Source organism: Homo sapiens, chromosome 7 (assembly GCF_000001405.40).
Source record: "Homo sapiens chromosome 7, GRCh38.p14 Primary Assembly".
NCBI classification, from domain to species: domain Eukaryota; kingdom Metazoa; phylum Chordata; class Mammalia; order Primates; family Hominidae; genus Homo; species Homo sapiens.
Genome location: NC_000007.14, coordinates 75335343 through 75354363, shown reverse-complemented (window position 1 = coordinate 75354363; position 19021 = coordinate 75335343). Strand labels below are relative to the sequence as shown.

Here is a 19021-nt window from a genome sequence, read left to right as displayed (position 1 = left end):
CTGATTCCAGAACCAGTTCTGTTTTTTTTTTCTTTTTTTTTTTTTTTGAGATAGAGTTTTGCTCTTGTTGCCGAGGCTGCGGTGCAATGGCACGATCTCAACTCACTGCAACCTCCACCTCCCAGGTTCAAGCGATTCTCCTGCCTCAGCCTCACAAGTAGCTGGGATTACAGGCATGCACCACCACGCCTGGCTAATTTTGTATTTTTAGTAGAGATAGAGTTTCTCTACGTTGGTCAGGCTGGTCTCGAACTACTGACCTCAGGTGATCCGCTCGCTTTGGTCTCCCAAAGTGCTGGGATTACAGGCATGAACCACTGCGCCCGGCCCCCGTTCTCCTTACTGGGTATGTTAAAATTATTTCTTTCAAAGGAAAAGGCTGGTCAAAGTGCAACGGTCTTTACAACTAATTGATCACAACCAGTTACAGATTTTTTTGTTCCTTCTCCACTCCAACTGCTTCACTTGACTAGTGTAAGGAAAAAAAAAAAAAAAAGAGGAAAGAAAGAAAATGCTAAACTATTTAATCTGGGCTAGTAAATGGCCAGAAAGAACTTTATAAAAATGAAATATACAAAATGACACTAGTATGTTTAACTAAAGGTATAGTTACGACACTTAAATTTGCACGTTATAAATAATATCAATATAAAAACTGATAGCGTGGGTCCATTTTTAATAAATATATAAATATTTTAAACTTTCTAGATCTAAAGCTTAAGGACTATGGAATGGATCTCATTGAAGTTTCAGGCAATGGATGTGGGGTAGAAGAAGAAAACTTCGAAGGCTTAAGTAAGTTAACTTTCTAATCCTATTACAAAATAATTGGGCCACATGTCTTAGAATTTTGAGTAACACTGTCTTGGGAAACACAAAAACAGTTTTCTAAAGCCAGTTACTAGATATCATGTATATTTGTTGTTATAGCACTTGAGATATCTTAGTCCTTACTTTACAGTCTCTTTCAGCTCTGAAACATCACACATCTAAGATTCAAGAGTTTGCCGACCTAACTCGGGTTGAAACTTTTGGCTTTCGGGGGAAAGCTCTGAGCTCACTTTGTGCACTGAGGTGATAAAATATTTTTATCCATTCACTTGACCCCTTAGAAAAACCTCTCTGAAAATTAATTGGAATCATTATTATTTACAATTTTCTATCTCAATATCTCAGCTTCTAGCTTCTGAATTCTGTTTTGTCTCACTGCCAATCTAAGTCCTAGTACTTCTGAAATGTGAGCAATAAATGAATGAAATGAAGCAAATAGTATTGTTTAAAAAATTGGTTACCCTTATTAAAACAGTAACTTCTCAATTTGAACATAACATATAGATAATAAATGATAGTTACCATTGGTTTTCATTATCAATTTTTAGGGAAACATTTCACCAAAGCACTATTTAATTACAGCACAGATACTAAATTTTTATAAATAATTACATGCACACACACATATATATACATATATATACATATATACATATATATATACATATATACATATATACATATATATATACATATATATACATATATACATATATATACATATATACATATATACATATATATACATATATATATACATATATATACATATATATATATATATATATATATATATTTTTTTTTTTTTTTAGACAGAGTCGCACTCTGTCACCCAGGCTGGAGTGCAGTGGCACAGTCTCAGCTCACTGCAGTCTCTGCCTCCCAGGTTCAAGTGACTTTCGTGACTCAGCCTCCTGAAGAGCTGGGACTATAGCGTGCACCACCACTCCTGGCTAATTTTTGTATTTTTAGTAGAGATGGGGTTTTGCCATGTTACCCAGGCTGGTCTGGAACTCCAGGCCTCAAGTGATCTGCCCTCCTTGGCCTCCCAAAGTGCTGGAATTACAGGCATGAGCCACCGTACCCTGCCCTACATATACATTTTAATTATAATATCTTTTGGATTCTTTAAAAAAAATTTTAAAAATTTTAAAAAATTCTTTAAAAAAATTCTTTTAAAAAATTTTGTTTGAAGAGTAATAACAAAACAAATCTCTATTTGAGAATCAATAAATCTTGAGATCATTTATGGTTTTGCAATTCAACCTGAAAAATGAAGTCAAAGCTTTTATCAAAACAAAGCATGTTTAGTGCTCTCTGTCTCACTGTCTTTTAGATGCCAGACCTTAGATTTTGTGATGACTCCTCAACCGTTTAGATCTCGGTTATCTCAGAGGGATCATCAGCTTTTTAAGAAAATTTTGAGAGAAAAGCAAGTGAAGAAAAGAGTAGTCAGTGCCCAACATCATGGATCTCTCACTGAACACACCATGCCTGGTATTCTCTCACAGTGATGTCACCATTTCTACCTGCCACGTATCGGCGAAGGTTGGGACTCGACTGGTGTTTTTGATCACGATGGGAAAATCATCCAGAAAACCCCCTACCCCCACCCCAGAGGGACCACAGTCAGCGTGAAGCAGTTATTTTCTACGCTACCTGTGCGCCATAAGGAATTTCAAAGGAATATTAAGAAGGTACAGTAAATTAATCCTGGTTTTCAAGAGTATTGGTTAATGCACATGAGCAAAAGATTTACTAAAGATGTTTATTCTTCAGTTGATTCTCTTCCCATAATTTATTGAGAAATGCTTTATTTGCATTTCTCATTAAAGACTTAACTTCAGGATGATTTACTTTTTTCTTTTTATCACATAATGTTTATTAGGACTGGGAAACATAGTGAGAGTCTGTCTCTATGAAAAATTAAAAAAAAAATTGACTGGGCATGGTGGCATGCACCTGTAGTTCCAGCTACTTGGGAGGCTGAAGTGGGAGGATCACCTGAGCCCAGGAACTTGAGACTGCAGTGAGCTACGATTGCGTCACTACACTTCAGACTGTGAGACAGAGTAAGACCCTGTCTGGAAAAATATATATACATATATATACATTTTTTTTATTTTTTATTTTTATCTTTTTTTGAGATGGAGTCTCACTTTGGCGCCCTGGCTGCAGTGCAGTGGCGCGATCTCAGTTCACTGCAACCTCCACCTGCCAAGTTCAAGCGATTCTCCTGCTTCAGCCTTCTGAGTAGCTACCATTACAGGCGCGCGCCACCACGCCCGGCTAATTTTTGTATTTTCAGTGGAGACGGGGTTCCACCATGTTGTCCAGGCTGGCCAGGCTGGTCTCGAATTCCTGCCCTCAGGTGATCCGCCCACCTCGGCCTCTCAAAGTGCTGGGATTACAGGCGTGAGCCACCATGCCTGACCTTATGTACTTATATTTTTATGAGAATATTTCTCTTGGTTTTCTGATAAATGAGTTACTGGAACCCTTATGAATTTGAATGCAAATGAAACAGCTAAATGTTATATAATTGTTGTGTTTAAAAAGCAGATTATAAAACTGTCTGTATTATATGATTACAGTTTTATAAAAACAAAACAGGCCTAAATGTGTATAGTATAAAGACTGAAGAGTCAGCACTTCCATGTTCTCAGCGGTTATCCTTGGATGTGAGATCTCATGCACTTTTTGCTCTCTTCTTTGTGCCTTTCCATTTTGCATGCGTATTTCTTATAATCTAAAAAGTTACTTAAACATATGCAGCTAAAAACTTTTTTTACTTGTAAAGCGTTTGGTGCTAATTTTAACTTTTTTTTTTAGACGGAGTCTTCTCACTCTGTCGCCCAGGCTGGAGTGCAGTGGTGTGATCTTGGCTCACTGCAACCTCCGCCTCCTGGGTTCAAGTGATTCTCCTACCTCAGCCTCCCAAGTAGCTGGGATTATAGGTGTGTGTCACCACACCCAGCTAATTTTTGTATTTTTAGTAGAGATGGGGTTTCACCATGTTGGCCAGGCTGGTCTTGCACCCCTGACCTCAAGTGATCTGCCCACCTCAGCCTCCCAAAGTGCTGGGATTACAGGCGTGAGCCACCACGCCTGGCTTTTTTTTTTAAAGCTTTTTTGTAAGTCAGCCAGCAAGAACACAGGAGGAAGTACTCAAATCTCCCTTACACAGCTGGGGGCTGTGTCAGGTTTTATAAGCATAGGGTAATGAGGTGTGATTTGATTGGATCTTGCAATAAAGTAATGCTGGGAGGTGTGATCTGACTGGATCCTGCCATGGGGTGACACCAAAACTCAATCTGATTGGATCCTGGCTCCTGCCTGGGGGTGTCTGGTTCTTAAATCGGTCCGGGCTCTTCAGGCTGAGCTCTTAGGTTCCACTCCACGGTGGCACGCGTGGTTAACCTGGGCATGCACAGGGTACATGACCTTCAACCTGCAGGTCGATGGCAATTGGAAAACAACTGACAACTTCATTACATAAAAGTTGAACTGATTCGGGTGCGGTGACTCACGCCTGTAATCCCAGCACTTTGGGAGGCCAAGGCAGGTGGATCACCTGAGGTCGAGGAGTTCAAGACCAGCCTGGCCAAAATGGTGAAACCCCGTCTCTACTAAAAATATAAATATTAGCCAGGCGTGGTGGCGCACCCTTGTAATCCCAGCTACCCCAGAGGCTGAGGCAGCAGAATGCTTGAACCTAGGACGTGGAGGTTGCAGTGAGCTGAGATCGTGCCATTGCACTCCAGCCTGGGTGACAAGAGTGAAACTCCATCAAAAAAAAAAAAAGTTGAACTAGATTTGGTCTGATGCAGTTACAGATTTACAAACCGCGTCCCACCCTCCTGCCAACACCTTCCACTCCTCATTCTTGAGGGATTAGGGATGGAGGTCATGCTTCTGTATCGACTTCATGCTGACCAGGGGCACTTAGTCCCCTAAAGTGAGAGGAATGAAACTCTTGGGCTTCTGAGTTCAGATGAGTTCTGGGGTCACCCGGAGTAGCTTGAAAGGCTGGTATTGTTGTAATACAAGCTGAAGGTGGAAGTGTTGGATCCTGGAGGACAAACAGCTCACCATCCATTTAAATAAATAGGACCAAAAAGTAACAGAACAGTGGCCACGAGGGGCCCCAACAGAGGAAGAAACCAGGTGAGGTGTGGTATAGTGGACTCGACTGCCTTCTAAATCTCAGTGGTTGTCCGGGTGCGGTGGCTCACGCCTGTAATTCCAGCAAAAGAAGAGCCGAGGCAGGGTGATCACGAGGTCAGGAGTTCAAGACCAGCCGGGCAAACATGGTGAAACCCCGTCTCTACTGAAAATACAAAAATTAGCCAGGTGTGGTGGCGTGTGCTGTAGTCCCAGCTACTAGGGAGGCTGAGGCAGGAGAATTGCTTGAACCTGGGAGGCGGAGGTTGCAGTGAGCCGAGATTGTGCCACTGCACTCCAGCCTAGGTAACAGAGCAGGACCCCATCTCAGTCAATCAATCAATCTCAGTGGTTGAACTACCCTTGATATGGTTCAGCTCTGTATCCCCAACCAAATCTCATGTCCAATTGCAATTCCCAGTGTTGAGGGAGGGACCTGGTGGGAGATGATTGGCTCATGGCGGCTGACGTCCCCCTTGCTGGTCTCGTGATAGTGAGTGAGCGCTCATGGGATCTGGTTGTTTAGAAGCATGCAGCACCTCCTGCTTCACTCTCTCTGTCTCTCCTGCTCCACCATGGCCAGAAACGTGCCTGCTTCCCCTTCGCCTTCTGCCGTGATTGTCAGTTTCTTGAGGGCTCCCCAGCCATGCTTCCTGTACAGCCTGCAAAACTGTGAGTCAATTAAACCTCTTTTCTTCATAAATTCCCCAGTTTCCAGTAGTTCTTTATAGCAGTGTGAAAACAGACTAATGGACCCTTCTGGTTGAAGGAATGTAGCCATTCTGCTTGTTTAAGTATTTCCTTTCTATTCATCTCTATTTCCCGGGAGGTGTTTATCCAAGTGCAATAGGAGATATTGGTGACTGCAGAGTCCCCTCAGTGTTCTGCTAGTAAATAGTTGAAGGTTGATCAGTGATCTCCAGCATTTTCAGTCTGGCATGGAAAAGCCCCCATGTAACTGGTAAAGGTATCAGTAAGCACCAGGAGGTATCTAAATCCACCAGGAGCCATAGGCATCATGTTGATGTCCATTTACCAGTCTTCCCTGGCAAGATTCTCTGAATTGTACTGCCTTGGCCAAAAGAGGTATGGGAGGGGCTGGGCACAGTGGCTCACGCCTGTAATCCCAGCATTTTGGGAGACCAATTCGGGTAGATCATTAGAGGTCAGGGGTTCAAGACCATCCTGGCCAACATGGTGACATTCCATCTCTACTAAAAATACAAAAAGTCAGCGGGGTTTGGTGTTGGGTGCCTGTAATCCCAGCTACTCGGGAGGCTGAGGCAGGATAATCACTTGAACCTGGGAGGAGGAGGAGGTGGCAGTGAGCTGAGATCTCGCCATTGCACTCCAGCCTGGGCAACAAGAGCGAAACTTCATCTCAAAAAATAAAAAAAGAAGTCTGGGTGTGGTGGCTCGTGCCTGTAATCCCAGGACTTTGGGAGGCCAAGATGGGTGGATCATGAGGTCAGGAGTTCAAGACCAGCCTGGCCTAGATGGTGAAACCCTGTCTCGAGTAAAAATACAAATATTAGCTGGGCATGGTGGCACACACCTGTAATCTCAGCTACTCAGAAGTCTGAGACAGAAGAATTGCCAAAACCCGGGAGGGAGAGGTTGCAGTGAGCCGAGATCGCGCCACTGCACTCTAGCCTGGGCGACAGAGCAAGACTCCGTCTCGAAAGAAAGAAAGAGAAAGGAAATTCCCCAGGGAAGTACCTCGGCTTATTTCATGAAGAGGTACTGAAGGAAGCAGAGGCATGTGGAGGACTTCCCCACCTCGTGCAGCTATTTGGGCCGTGGCGTCTGAAATTTCTTATTTCAGAGTCACCCCTTTGATGACCTTGGCAGTGGACTGCAGTCATCTGTTTAGGCCTCTCCATGGCCCGTGTCAATGCCGATATTTCTGTCTGTTGCACATTTGATTTCCTTGTTGTTGGCATTTAGAAGGCCCCCTGTTTCCCAGATCACACCACGGGCATGGACCGCAGAGATTGCATCTTGTGAGTCTGTAGAAACAGTCAAGGCCTTGTCCTCTCTTAGGTCCAGAGCTCAGGTGAATGCAGATTTTCCCGGCCATCTGTGCTGAAGTCCCTGTGGGGAGGCTCCTGGCTGGTTTCCTGTAGGTAGACAGCTACACATCCTGCCCTTCATTGGCTTCTTTTCATGAAGCTCCTGCTGTCTACAAAACATGTCTCCCTTTTCTTCTTGAACCACATCTCTGTTATTGAAACTCTAGAAGTCAGCCAGGCACAGTGGCTATGCCTGTAATCCCAGCACTTTGGGAGGCCAAGGTGGGTGGATCACCTGAGGTCAGGAGTTCAAGACCAGCCTGGCCCACATGGCGAAACCCTGTCTCTAATACAAATACTAAAATTAGCCAAGCATGGTGGCCACTGCACTCCAGCCTGGGTGACAGAGCAAGACTCTGTCTCAAATAAAGAAAGAGAAAGTATCATGCTTTTCAGAGTTCTGTGGGTTGTTATGGTGAATTATCAAACCTGAGGACGTGGTGGGAACCTCCAAATTTGCAGCCAGTTGGTGAGAAGTACATGCGGTCTGTGGACACCCAAGCTTGCAGCTGCATCTGAAGCGAGGGCAGCCTAGCGGGGGCTGGTGGCCTTAACCTGTGGCATTTGATGTAACATCAGGGAGTTGACATCAGAATTACGTCACACAGGCCAGGTGCAGTGGCTCATGCTTATAATCCCAGCAATTAGAAAGGCAAGATAAGAAGATTGCTTGAGCTTGAGTCTGAGCCCACAGTGAGCTATGACCGCACCACTGCACCCCAGTCTGGGTGACAGCACAAGACCCCGACTCCAAAAATAAAAAAGAAAAATCACAAAGAATTGCATGGCAGAGTGCCTGTCTTTCACAGCTTGAACTGTTGCAGGAACTTTCTTTTTTTTTTTTTCTTTTGTGATGGAGTCTCGCGCTTTCACCCAGGCTGGAGTGCAGTGGCGCGATCTCTGCTCACTGCAGGCTCCGCCTCCTGGGTTCACACCATTCTCCTGCCTCAGCCTCCGGAGTAGCTGGGACTACAGGCGCCTGCCACCGCGCCCAGCTAATTTTTTGTATTTTTAGCAGAGATGGGGTTTCACCGTATTAGCCAGGATGGTCTTGATCTCCTGACCTCATGATCCACCCACCTCAGCCTCCCAAAGTGCTGGGATTACAGTCCTGAGCCACCGCGCCTGGACTTTTTTTTTTTTTTTGAGAGGGGTTGGGGAGACATATTCTCTGCTAGTGATTCTCCTGCCTGGTCTCGAACTCCTGCTGGGATCACAGGCGTGAGCCACCACGCCCAGCCACCTTTAGAGTTTTCTTACCACCTGGTTTTCCTCTCTCAATATCTTTCTCTCATTTCCTGCTTTAAAACTCTAGCTTGGGGTCTGGGCACAGTAGCTCATGCCTATAATCCCAGCACTTTGGGAGACTGAGGCGGGTGGATCACTTGAGGTCAGGAGTTTGAGACCAGCCTGGCCAACATGGTGAAACCTTGTCTCTACTATTTTTACAAAAGTTAGTCAGACGTACAGGCGGATGCCTGTAGTCCCAGCTACTTGGGAGGCTGAGGCAGGAGAATTTGCTTGAACGCGGAGGTGAAAGTTGCAGGGAGCCGAGGTTGTGCCACTGCACTCCAGCCTGGGAGACAGAGCGAGACTGTCTCCAAAACAAACAAACAAACAAACAAACAAAAAAACCCTGTAGCTTGGGATCAGCCTTCTCTTCTGTTGTTTTTCTTTAAAAAATAAAAATTAAAAATAGGCTTCAAGTGATCCTCCCGCCATGACCTCCAAAACTGCTGGGATTGTAGGTGTGAGCACTGCACCCAGCCGTATGTTTTTTTCTACATAAAAAACAGCACAGGATTATCTTCCAAAGCTAATAAATATGTTCAAATAACCACAACCCCATTAAGGAAAAATGTCACTTGACAGCAAATAATCAATCCAGACCACAATATGATCACACTCACTGTGAAGGTGAGAAAAGTTCATCTTTATTATGTTTCCCCAAGAGATGCACTGCACTGTTCTCTTGAAAACACACAGCTCATGTCCTCCTTTAGAACACACATCCTCTTTAAAGTAACATACAAACATGCCAAAACAAGATAAAAAATTCCATCTGAATTCTCACATTTCAAACATACACTAAATATCAAATAAAAATTTATTTTTACAAGAATTTAGGGGAACTACCACATAGCTATAAATGTAATATATATGTTAACTAAGTATCATAGATAAAAACCATGCTCCCTTCAGCAGCACGTGTAATAATAGATACAAAGATTGAAAGGTAAAAGATTTAGGATGAAAAGAATCCTCTCTTAAAAAGGAAAACAAAATTATATGTATGTGTATACAACAGTTATAATACCCATCACACAGCTTTATAGAAACAGCATCTATTCAAAAATACCAGTATTTCCAAAATATTTAAAATAATATTTAAAGTAATAATAATATTTAAATAAATAAATATATTTAATAAATATTTCAGTAAATAAAATAATATTTAAATAATTCTATACCCATGTTTTTCAAAATAAACCAATAAAATAGATAGTATATATTAGACGTGTTAGTATATATATCTGAGACATGTTAAAAATCACAACTGAATTCTCACAAGTCAGTCACAAACCTAAACAGCAAATAAAAATTTCTATCACCAGAATTATGTTTTTTTCTGGTGGGGAACTACCAATAGCTATAAATAGAAGAGATTATTATGGAAGTATCATAGATAAAAAGAGTGCTCGCTTCAGGAGCACATATAATAATACAGAAAAAAAATTAAAGATAATAAAAGATTTAGGATAAAAAGAATTCTCACTTAAAAATGAAAAGAAAATTATCTTTAGGTATATATAACAACTATAACTCTCATCAAAAAACTCTACAGGAACAGCATGTTTTCAAAAGTACAACAATTTCCAAACTATTTGAAATAAACCTATTAATAATTCAATGGCCAACATTTTCCAAACAAACCAATAAAATGCATAGTGTGCATGAAGCTATCTGTTACAGTCTGTGGCACTCATATTTCACAAAGAATTCTGTGCCAATCTGAGCCCCTGCACTGTGCCTTCAAATGCTCCTGGACTGTGGCAACCAAGTCCATAAGAAACAGGACCTCCAGGTTCCGCCCCAGGGAGGTTGGCATTCAGCAATATAAAAAGGGAGGTGGTGCCGCAGGAAAGGGTGGAACTGGAAACACTCCTGGTTTCTTACTTTTCTCCAAGGACTCCTAGAAGTACCCCACCCCACCCCTGCTCCTTGGAGGACAACGTGATCACTGTATTCAGCTCTGTCAAGAATGGTCCAGGTTCTTCTAGATGATCTGCACAAATGGTTCCTCTCCTCCTTCCTGATGTCTGCCATTAGCATTGGAATAAAGTTCCTGCTGAAAATCCACATCTCCCCTGGGTCCGGTGTTCTGGAAGTGAGAGAGACAATGTCACACTTGAAGGAGGCAGCTCTCTAGACAGGAAGGTTATTCACGTCCCATGTCAAGTCTAGCTAGAGTTCAGAGCAATTGAGAAGTGCAATTTTATCTCCTGCCTTTCATTCTATACCCTGCTTCTGAACCATCGTGTTCAACTGTGAAACTCACACTTTGGTGACCCTGACTCCAAAACTTAATACACCCAAGGTCAGCCCCAGTGATCTGCTTCATAGCCAGGACTTTGGGTGGGTCTTCCCAGGGAGTAGGGCACCCTCAGAGAATGTGGCTTTGGACTTCATCACAGCTGGGGCCTTTTGTGTCACTTCAGATCTAAACTTGTAACCGTGCTAGATCTGTTTCTAACGTGACAACATCACGAACCACGAGTCCAGAAGCCTAATCCATAATCCTCCCTCCTCATGACGAAGTCTCATGCTCTGTGCTCAACATGGTTAGCTGCACAAGATGTAAACCAAAGCTTCACTGAACCCTCGACCCAAATCGGTAACTCAAGTGCATCAATCATAATGAACCTCCCCGAACTCAGTATTTATGATTATTTTTGAGGCAGGGTCTCACTCTGTCGCCCGGGCTGGAGTGCAGTGGCAGGATCAGGGCTCCCTGCAGCCCCGACCTCCCAGGCTCCAGCGATCCTCCCGCCTCAGCCTCCTGAGTAGTTGGGAGTAGAGATGCCTCCCACATCGCCTGGCTAATTTTTGTATTTTTGTGGAGAGGGGATCTCGCCACGTTGCCCAGGCTTGAAGCCAGATCAAGCAATTGGGTTCCTTGGATTTCCGAAATAGACCCCAATATTCTGCCTTTACCCCGGAGGATGCAGATGTACCTTCTCTCAGGCCGATGACCTCAGGCCTCCACGGTCCCTGGAGCTCTAGGAAAGGTGGGCGCGATCTCGCGCCCACACCCAGTGCTCTGGGTCATAAGCCTGGATCTGGAAAAACAAACGCGCTTTGAGAAGACGGGGACTCCCCAGGATACCCCTCTCTCCCCTCGTCCAGCCTCCAGCCCACCCGATTCCTCCCCACATCCTCCACGTCCCCAGGCCCCACCCACCTCTTCCAACTCCTCCAGGGAAACCCAAGCCCTGCAGCGCATGGAACAAAAGAAGTGGAACCGATACTTCCGGAACAAGGCTATCTGAGAGCAGTTCTTCCTGGCCCTCGGGTTCATGTAACGGCATAACTGGAACCAAAGCTCACTGAGCAAGGGTATATGAGAGCGGGTCTCCTCGTACAGGAAGTAGAAGATGTTTTGTTTGGGGGCCTCGTCGTCCTCCTCCATGTCATTGGCCAGATAGCTGAGGACAGAAATCAGGTTGCTGCTCAGGGGCACCACCAGGAGAGACCTCCGGCTGAGGTCAGCTTCTCAGAGAGGAAGGTAAGGGACCGTCCCTAGCTCAGGACTGGCACCCACCCTGCAGAGAGCCACGCCTTCCTCAGGAGGGCTCTGCTGGACAGAGACCTGATCAAGGGCGTCTCCCACTCCTTCAGGATGGAGACAAAAACCCAACTGGTGACCAAGAGTGGTGGCTTATGCCTGGAATCCCAGCACACTGGGAGGCCGAAGCAGGAGGATCACTTGAGGCCAGGAGTTTGAGACAGGCCTGGGCAACATAGCAAGACCCTCGTCTCTATTAAAAATATAAAAAATACGCCAGACGTGGTGGCTCATGCCTGTAATCCCAGCGCTTTGGAAGGCTGAAGCAGGTGGATTGCTTGAGACCAGGAGTTTGAGACCAGCCTGGTCAACACAGAGAAACCCCATCTATACTAAAAATACAAAAATCAGCCTGGTGCGGTGGCACACCCATTAGTCCTAGCTACTCAGGAGGCTGAAGCATAAGAATTGTGTGAACCCAGGAGGCGGAGGTTGCAGTGAGCCAAGATTGGGCCCCTCCATTCCAGCCTGAGAGACACAGCAACACTCTTGTCTTGATAAATAAATAAATAAATAAATAACTGTCCAGGTGTGGTGGTACAGCCCTGTAGTCGGAGCTAATCAAGAGGCTGAGGTGGGAGGATCGCTTGAGCCCAGGATATGGAGGCTGCGGTGAGCTATGATCTCACCACTGCACTCCAGCTTAGGGGACAGGGCAAGTCTGTCTCAAAAAAAAAAAAAAGCAATTGAATACACTGATATTTTGCCAGGACCCTGCCTTCTACAGGCATCTAGTCTAATGGGACTGGGAGTAATCAGGGGAGATGACCTAATCCCAATGTCACATTATAATAGGATGTAACTGGAGAGCTACGGGCATGCAGAAGTTGGAAGACGAGGGAAGGCATCACAGAGGCTGTGGGGTGAACCGACTTCAAGGAATGGGTCCTTCCCTTCAGAACCACATGTGTGCGGGACACCCAGACAGAAAACACAAATGCAAAGTCAAGTGGAGGGCATTTGGAAGGAGCAGTGAAGCCAAGCCAGGAAACACCAAGATGGCGAGCCAGTGTGGTTGTAGAGATTGTAGAGAGGGTGGAATTGGCACTGTGGACCCTGGCCTCGATAGAGAAAGACATCAGCTAAGGAAGTTGTTCAGGTGGGCAGTGAGGTTGTCGTGCTTTGGAAAGATGTTCAGGCTGCACTAGGAAGCCCCCTGGCTTGGGGAGAGACTCCAGGAAACCCCAGCAGGGAGCATTTGACAGTGGATTCGAGTGATGCAAGGGGGACCTGGACTGTGACCTCTGTCACGGGAACCCGGAGGAGGCTGATGGCTTTTGCGGTTGATGTGGGAAGGAGAGAGAACAACCGGAAACGTCTGCTTGCTGGGGGAAGTGTCATGTCCGCTCCTCCGCTCCTTTTCTTCTCCCCTTAGGAGCGGTTCATGGTTCCTTTTGTTTTTTGTTCTTTTTTTTTTTTTTTTTTTGAGACTATAATCCTGTCTTTTTTGTACACAGAGTAAAGAGGACAAATAGGTGAAAGAATAAATGAAAGGCTGGAATCCCACTTCCCCCGCTGTCCCAGGGCATTGGATATTGACGGATAGGAGGCAGCAAACCACTCACAGAGCCAGGAAGAAATGAATGCGTTGGTATTGCCAGGAGGGGAGGCCGGCCCGGCTGAAATACGCTATGACCATAGCCAGGAGATACTGATGGAGAGAAAGGAACACAGAGAGGGAGAGGTCACATCTTGGGAGAGGAAGATTGTGGATATAGTGGAATGGGGGTCTGGGGAGGGGTTGCCCATCAGAGAAGGGACCTCAGTGTTGGGGTGACTGTGCTCATGTGGAAATTGCGGGGTGGAGGGGTATTCGAAGGTCGGATGCAAATCCGAGAAGCCGGAGGAAGGGTTTTTGGTGATGCTCCCAGGATGGTGGGCTCCGATGGGATCTTTGGAGGGGGTGTGTCTAGGTCGGCTGGTGTCAGGAGGGTCTTTTGTGTGCCAGGCAGAGAACTGTCCCAAGGAGCTGAGAGTAGAGGGCCCAGGAGCTTCAGGGCTGCAGCCAGACTGTGGCCCAGGGCTCAGATCCCAAAGGACCCATAGGAGAGGCAGGGGCCACTCATTCACTCTGCAAGAGACCAGCAGAATCCTGACGGAGATGCTGACAAATCATAAAAAGACAAAGAATAGCCGGGAGTGGCAGCTCAAGCCTGTGATCCCAGTACTTTTTGAGAGGTGGAGACAGGAGGATCATGTGAGCCCAACAGTTGGAGAACAACCTGGGCAACACAGCGAGACCCTGTTTCTAAGAAGATTTCAAAAATTAGTTGAGCATGGTAGCATGTGCCTAGTCCCAGCTCCTCAGGAGGCTAAGGAAAGAGGATTGCTTGAGCCCAGGAATTAGAGTGAGCTATGATCATGCCACTGTACTCCATCCTGGGGAGCAGAGCTGGATTCTGTCTCAGAAAAAAAAATGTGTGGGTGCCAAGACTCAAGACCATGGGAGCTGGTCAGACACAGTGCTGACGTCTGTAATCTCAGCACTTTGGGAGGCCAAGGCGGGTGGATCACCTGAGGTCAGGTGTTCGGGACCAATCTGGCCAACATGGCAAAACCCCGTCTCTACTAAAAACACAAAAATTAGCCAGGCGTGGTGGTTCATGTTTGTAATCCCAGCTGCTTGGAGGCTGAGGTGGGAGAATCGCTTGAACCCAGGAGGCATCAGCTGCAGTGAGTCAAGATCGAGACACTGCCCTCCAGCCTGGGCAGCAGAGCAAGACTGTGTCTCACAAAAAAAAACAAAAACAAAAACAAAAAAAAACTGTAGGAGCATCTGGTGGGAGGTGGTGGACGGAGAACTGTGGGTTTGGAAGCTGCGCCCTCCCCCTGGCCGTGCGTTAGAACAGGAACACAGTTACATAGAGAACAACCTTACCTTGTCCGACACCCTCAGATCTTTGTCCCAGGCCAGGAGTCTTTTAATGACAGGATCCTCTGTGATTAGAGAGCAGATGTCAGTGTGAGAAGCAGGACAGGGTTTCCGTGAGAGCAGCAGGGCAGCGAGGAGAAGTGTGCCTCCCGGGGGAAAGTCTCAGGATTGTGGCCGCGGGTGAGGTGGATGAGAGAGGGGAGAATGACTTTCACTGGGCAAGGGAGAGAGGCTCCTGCTCTGAGACTCCCCTGAGAAGAGGCCGAAGGAGGCCCTGGGTGTGAGAATCTACAGGATGTAGAGCTGGGAATCAGCCAGGACCCCCTCCAGCAGACACGGAGGGACCACTGCAGAGTCATAAAGGAATTCCCATCATTTCCTCATGAGACAGTCACACATCAGGGTGTGACCATGGCCTTGGTATCCCTCACTATGGATGGAAACACTTAGGTTTAGAAAAGTCAGTAAGAAACATTAAGTTTCAGAGGGCACAGCTGAAACCACTTTTTTGATTTTTGATTTTGTTTTTCTTTATTTGATTTTTATTTTTATTTATTTATTAATTTATTTTGAGACAGAGTCTTGCTCTGTGGGCCAGGCTGGAATGCATTGGCCTGATCTTGGCTCACTGCAACCTCTGCCTCCTGGGTTTAAGCAGTTCTCCTGTCTCAGCCTCCCGAGTAGCTGGAACTACAGGGATGAGCTACTGTGCCCAGCCTTGGTTTTTCTTTTGACGCAGAGTTTTGCTCTGTCACCCAGGCTGGAGTGCAGTGGTGCAGTCATAGCTCACTGCAGCCTCAAAGTCCTGAGTTCAAGCAATCCTCTTGCCTCAGCCTCCCAACGTGCTGGGATCTCAGGCGGGAGCCACAGCGCCTGGCCCAAAACCAAGCTTTCTTATCCCAAGCACCGACCTTTATCAAGTCTACCTAATCCTCTGTTGTCTCCTAAGTGTCCCTCATGAGTGATCACTTCAGAGTCCTCCCGCATGGAGAGCTCACCCACTGGGGCATATTTTTCCCATTGGAAAAGTGTGGTTATTGGAAGTTTCCTCTTTAGAAAGAACAGGATTGGAGGTGCTCTCTGGGGTGTCCTCCTACCAAGCAGCCTGTTGAAGGCCTCGTAGTACTCAGGGAGCACGAGCGACACTCGCCGTCGCTTCGCCTTCATCTTGAGGCCACACAGCGTCTCCGCCACCCAGGTCTCCTCAGGCTCAGGGGCGAGCTCCTTCTCTGGCTCATCATCAGATTCATCCAAACATTCCCTCTTCCTTTTCCAGCCAAGGGACCTACGTGGGGGGCTGGGATCTACCCCAGGGGCTGAGTAAAGAAACCAGGCCACCGTGTAATGCTTCTGCAACTGATCACGTTAGACCCCGACCCCAAACCCCAAACCACTCTCCATCCTCCCCAGCCTCGCAGACTGCTGGCTTCTCCAAGCCACCTTTCTGACTTTCTCCTCTGCTCAACCCCATGTGCCACTCCTTCCCCTCCCCATTCTTCCCTCTCTCTGTCCTCAGAACACTGCCTCATATCCTTCCCTGGTCCCTGGCTCTCTGAGTCCCTCTTTTTTTTTTTTTTTTTTTGTTTCGAGACAGAATCTTGCTTTGTCACCCAGGCTGGAGTGTAGTGGTGCAATCTCAGCTCACTGCAACATGCATCTCCCGGATTCCAGTTATTCTCCTGCCTCAGCCTCTCAGGTAGCTGGGATTACAGGTGCCTGCCATAATGCCCAGCTCCATTTTGTACTTTTAATAGAGACAGGGTTTCACCATGTTGGCCAGGCTGGTCTCAAACTCCTGGCCTCAAGTGATCCGCCTGCCTTGGCTTCCCAAAGTGCTGGGATTACAAGTGTGAGCCACTGCACCCAGCCTGAATTTCTCCATTCTTCCCACACACCCTCCCCAGGTTCTCCTTCCTGACCTCTGACCCTTCTTTTTTTTCTTCTTTTTTTTTTTTTCTTCTTTTTTTTTTTTGAGATAGCATCTCACTCTGTCACCCAGACTGGAGTGCAGTAGCACGATCTCGGCTCACTGCAACCTCTTCCTCCCAGGCTCAAGTGATTCTCCTGTCTTAGCCTCCCAAGTAGCTGGGATTATAGGCACACACCACTACCGCCTGGCTAATTTTTGTACTTTTAGTAGAGATGGGGTTTCACCATGTTGGCCAGGCTGGTCTTGAACTCCTGACCTCAGGTGATCTGCCCGCCTCAGCCTCCCAAAGTGTTGGGGTTACAGGGGTGAGCCACCACGCCTGGCCCCCTTCCTTCATCTTAGTCAATCCTATGCCACCTCTTCTTTCTCCAGTCCCCTCACCTGATGGTCCCAACACTTCATCATCCACCACCTCCTGGAGGGGGTACCCTGAGGTGCTCCGCTGGGGGCTCCGCTCTTCCTGGGGCTGCGGTTGATGGCTCATCATGATCTTTCCCAAAATCTGTCCCATCTCACCAAACCTAGTCTCTGTTCTGTCCTTGGTCTTCTTCTGGACACTGCTGGGATCCAGAAGAGTGTGTTATCAATTCTCGAGGCTGGGAGAAGTCAGGAGTGGAGAACAGCTCTGAGAAGTTACTGTTGTCCAACTGAACTCCCAGGTGCCGACAGAGTCCGGTCCCTCCAATCAGGAAGGTCGGAATCTCTGATGTCATCGCTCATGCCAACCTGGCAACCAGTTTGAAAAAAAACACATGTAACTGCCAGGCTGATCTCTTGTCCTGGAGATCCTGGGTGAATGGTATCTCCTGCCACTGTCCCAACCTCAGACCACTGTCCAAAAGCATCTTCAGGGTCTCCGCATCCCTCTGTTCCCTGTCCCAGCAGAGGCTGTGTCCTCTCCACTCAAAGCTTGAAGCGTGTTGGGGTCTCCTCTTCTCTGTACATGCCCGTTTCAGAGTCCAGTCTGGTGGGAGAGGGATCAGGATGGGAAAGAAAAGTAGGGTAAGCAGAAACGATGAAACCTTACAAGAGTGAGATTATCATGTACAAGAGATCCCAGGAACATTGACTTGATGAAAAAGTCACATCAGAGCACTCAATTTGGCAGAGGTTTTCTGCCGAATGTCTACTGACATTCACTGTCCGAGATTCTGTACTGGGGGTACACGCGTCCTCTGCCCTAAGGCATCTTTGAGTCCAAGAGATACTTTGAGGACTGGAAATCATAGGAAACTGCCCATGAGTTCACACATATTTCCAATGGTGTCCCCAATTTCAGGGAGTCCACGGATCACCTAAAGCCAGCCCCTCCAGTTTGGCTAAGAAACTCTATATATCAAGTTTTGTATCATATGTATTGCTCTTAACTCAGAAAATTCCACCATTTATAGCAGTGGTTTATTTATTTATACCATTGAAGGAAATGGTTTATTTATGAATCTATATTACGGATATTCTATAAGATACTGGGTGTACAAAAAGACTAAGTCGAAAAATCTCAGCTGTGCACAGTGGCTCATGCTTGTAATCCCATCTCTTTGGGTGGCCAAGGGAGGAAGACTGCCTGAGGCCAGCAGTTCAAGACCAGTATAGGCAACATAGCAAGAGCCCATCTCTAAAACAAAACAAAACAAAACAAAACAAAATTAGCCAGGTGTCGTGGCTGGCACCTGTGTTCCAACAACTTGAGAGACTGAGGTGGCAGGAGGATTGCTTGAGCCTAGGAGTTAGGGGCTGCAGTGAGCTGTGATCGTGACACCGCACTCCAGTCTGGGCAACACAGCAAGACCTTGTGTCAAAAAAAATTTTTTAATTAAATATAAAAGAGTTTCATGACATTCAGAGACCATCCAAAGAACCTGTGGGTTCCGGCCAGGCACAGTGGCTCACGCCTGTAATCCCAGCGCTTTGGGAGGCCATAGCAGGTGGATCGCTTGAGGTCAGGAGTTTAAGAGCAGCCTGGCCAACATGGTGAAACCCCATCTCTTCTAAAAATACAAAAAATTAGTCAGGCATGGTGGTGGGTGCCTGTAATCCCAGCCACTCAGGAGGCGGGGACAGCAGAATGGCTTAAACTTGGGAGGCGGAGGTTGCAGTGAGCCAAGGTCACACCATTGCACTCCAGCCTGGGCAACAAGAGCAAAACTACATCTCAAAAAAAACAAACAAACAAACAAAAAGAACCTGTGGATGAGTTCCCACATGGCTTCCTAACGGGCTGCGGCTCTCCTAGGAGTCTCTCGCTCATGGGAAAGGCACAAACTGAATGCGGAAGGAAATCCCATTGCTGTGGAAGTCCCATTGTT

At 46.5% G+C, this 19021-nt stretch overlaps 1 protein-coding gene and 1 pseudogene across 3 annotated transcripts in view; one reads left to right on the top strand and one right to left on the bottom strand.

Moving 5' to 3' along the window:
* Window positions 1-10427, top strand: part of PMS2P2 (PMS1 homolog 2, mismatch repair system component pseudogene 2) — a 15061-nt pseudogene extending 4634 nt beyond the window's left edge. The window contains exons 3-5 of the transcript NR_003614.3: window positions 709-795; window positions 2343-2528; window positions 10256-10427. The product of NR_003614.3 is annotated as a PMS1 homolog 2, mismatch repair system component pseudogene 2 (transcript). The remainder of the gene's footprint in view (window positions 1-708; window positions 796-2342; window positions 2529-10255) is intronic.
* On the bottom strand, window positions 6663-19021 carry SPDYE15 (speedy/RINGO cell cycle regulator family member E15). 2 transcript variants are annotated; one of them, NM_001382547.2, is made up of 8 exons: window positions 18900-19021; window positions 17097-17679; window positions 15883-16101; window positions 14792-14850; window positions 13479-13564; window positions 11530-11773; window positions 11303-11407; window positions 8968-10449 (listed from the first exon to the last, which is right to left on the bottom strand). In NM_001382547.2, exons 2-7 carry the CDS (start codon window positions 17224-17226, stop codon window positions 11348-11350), a joined length of 798 nt encoding a protein of 265 aa, NP_001369476.1. In that variant the 5' UTR covers window positions 17227-17679; window positions 18900-19021; the 3' UTR covers window positions 8968-10449; window positions 11303-11347. The 2 variants fall into 2 exon arrangements, with proteins under 2 accessions (XP_047275734.1, NP_001369476.1); XM_047419778.1 differs by lacking the exon at window positions 18900-19021 and having other exon boundaries at window positions 6663-11407.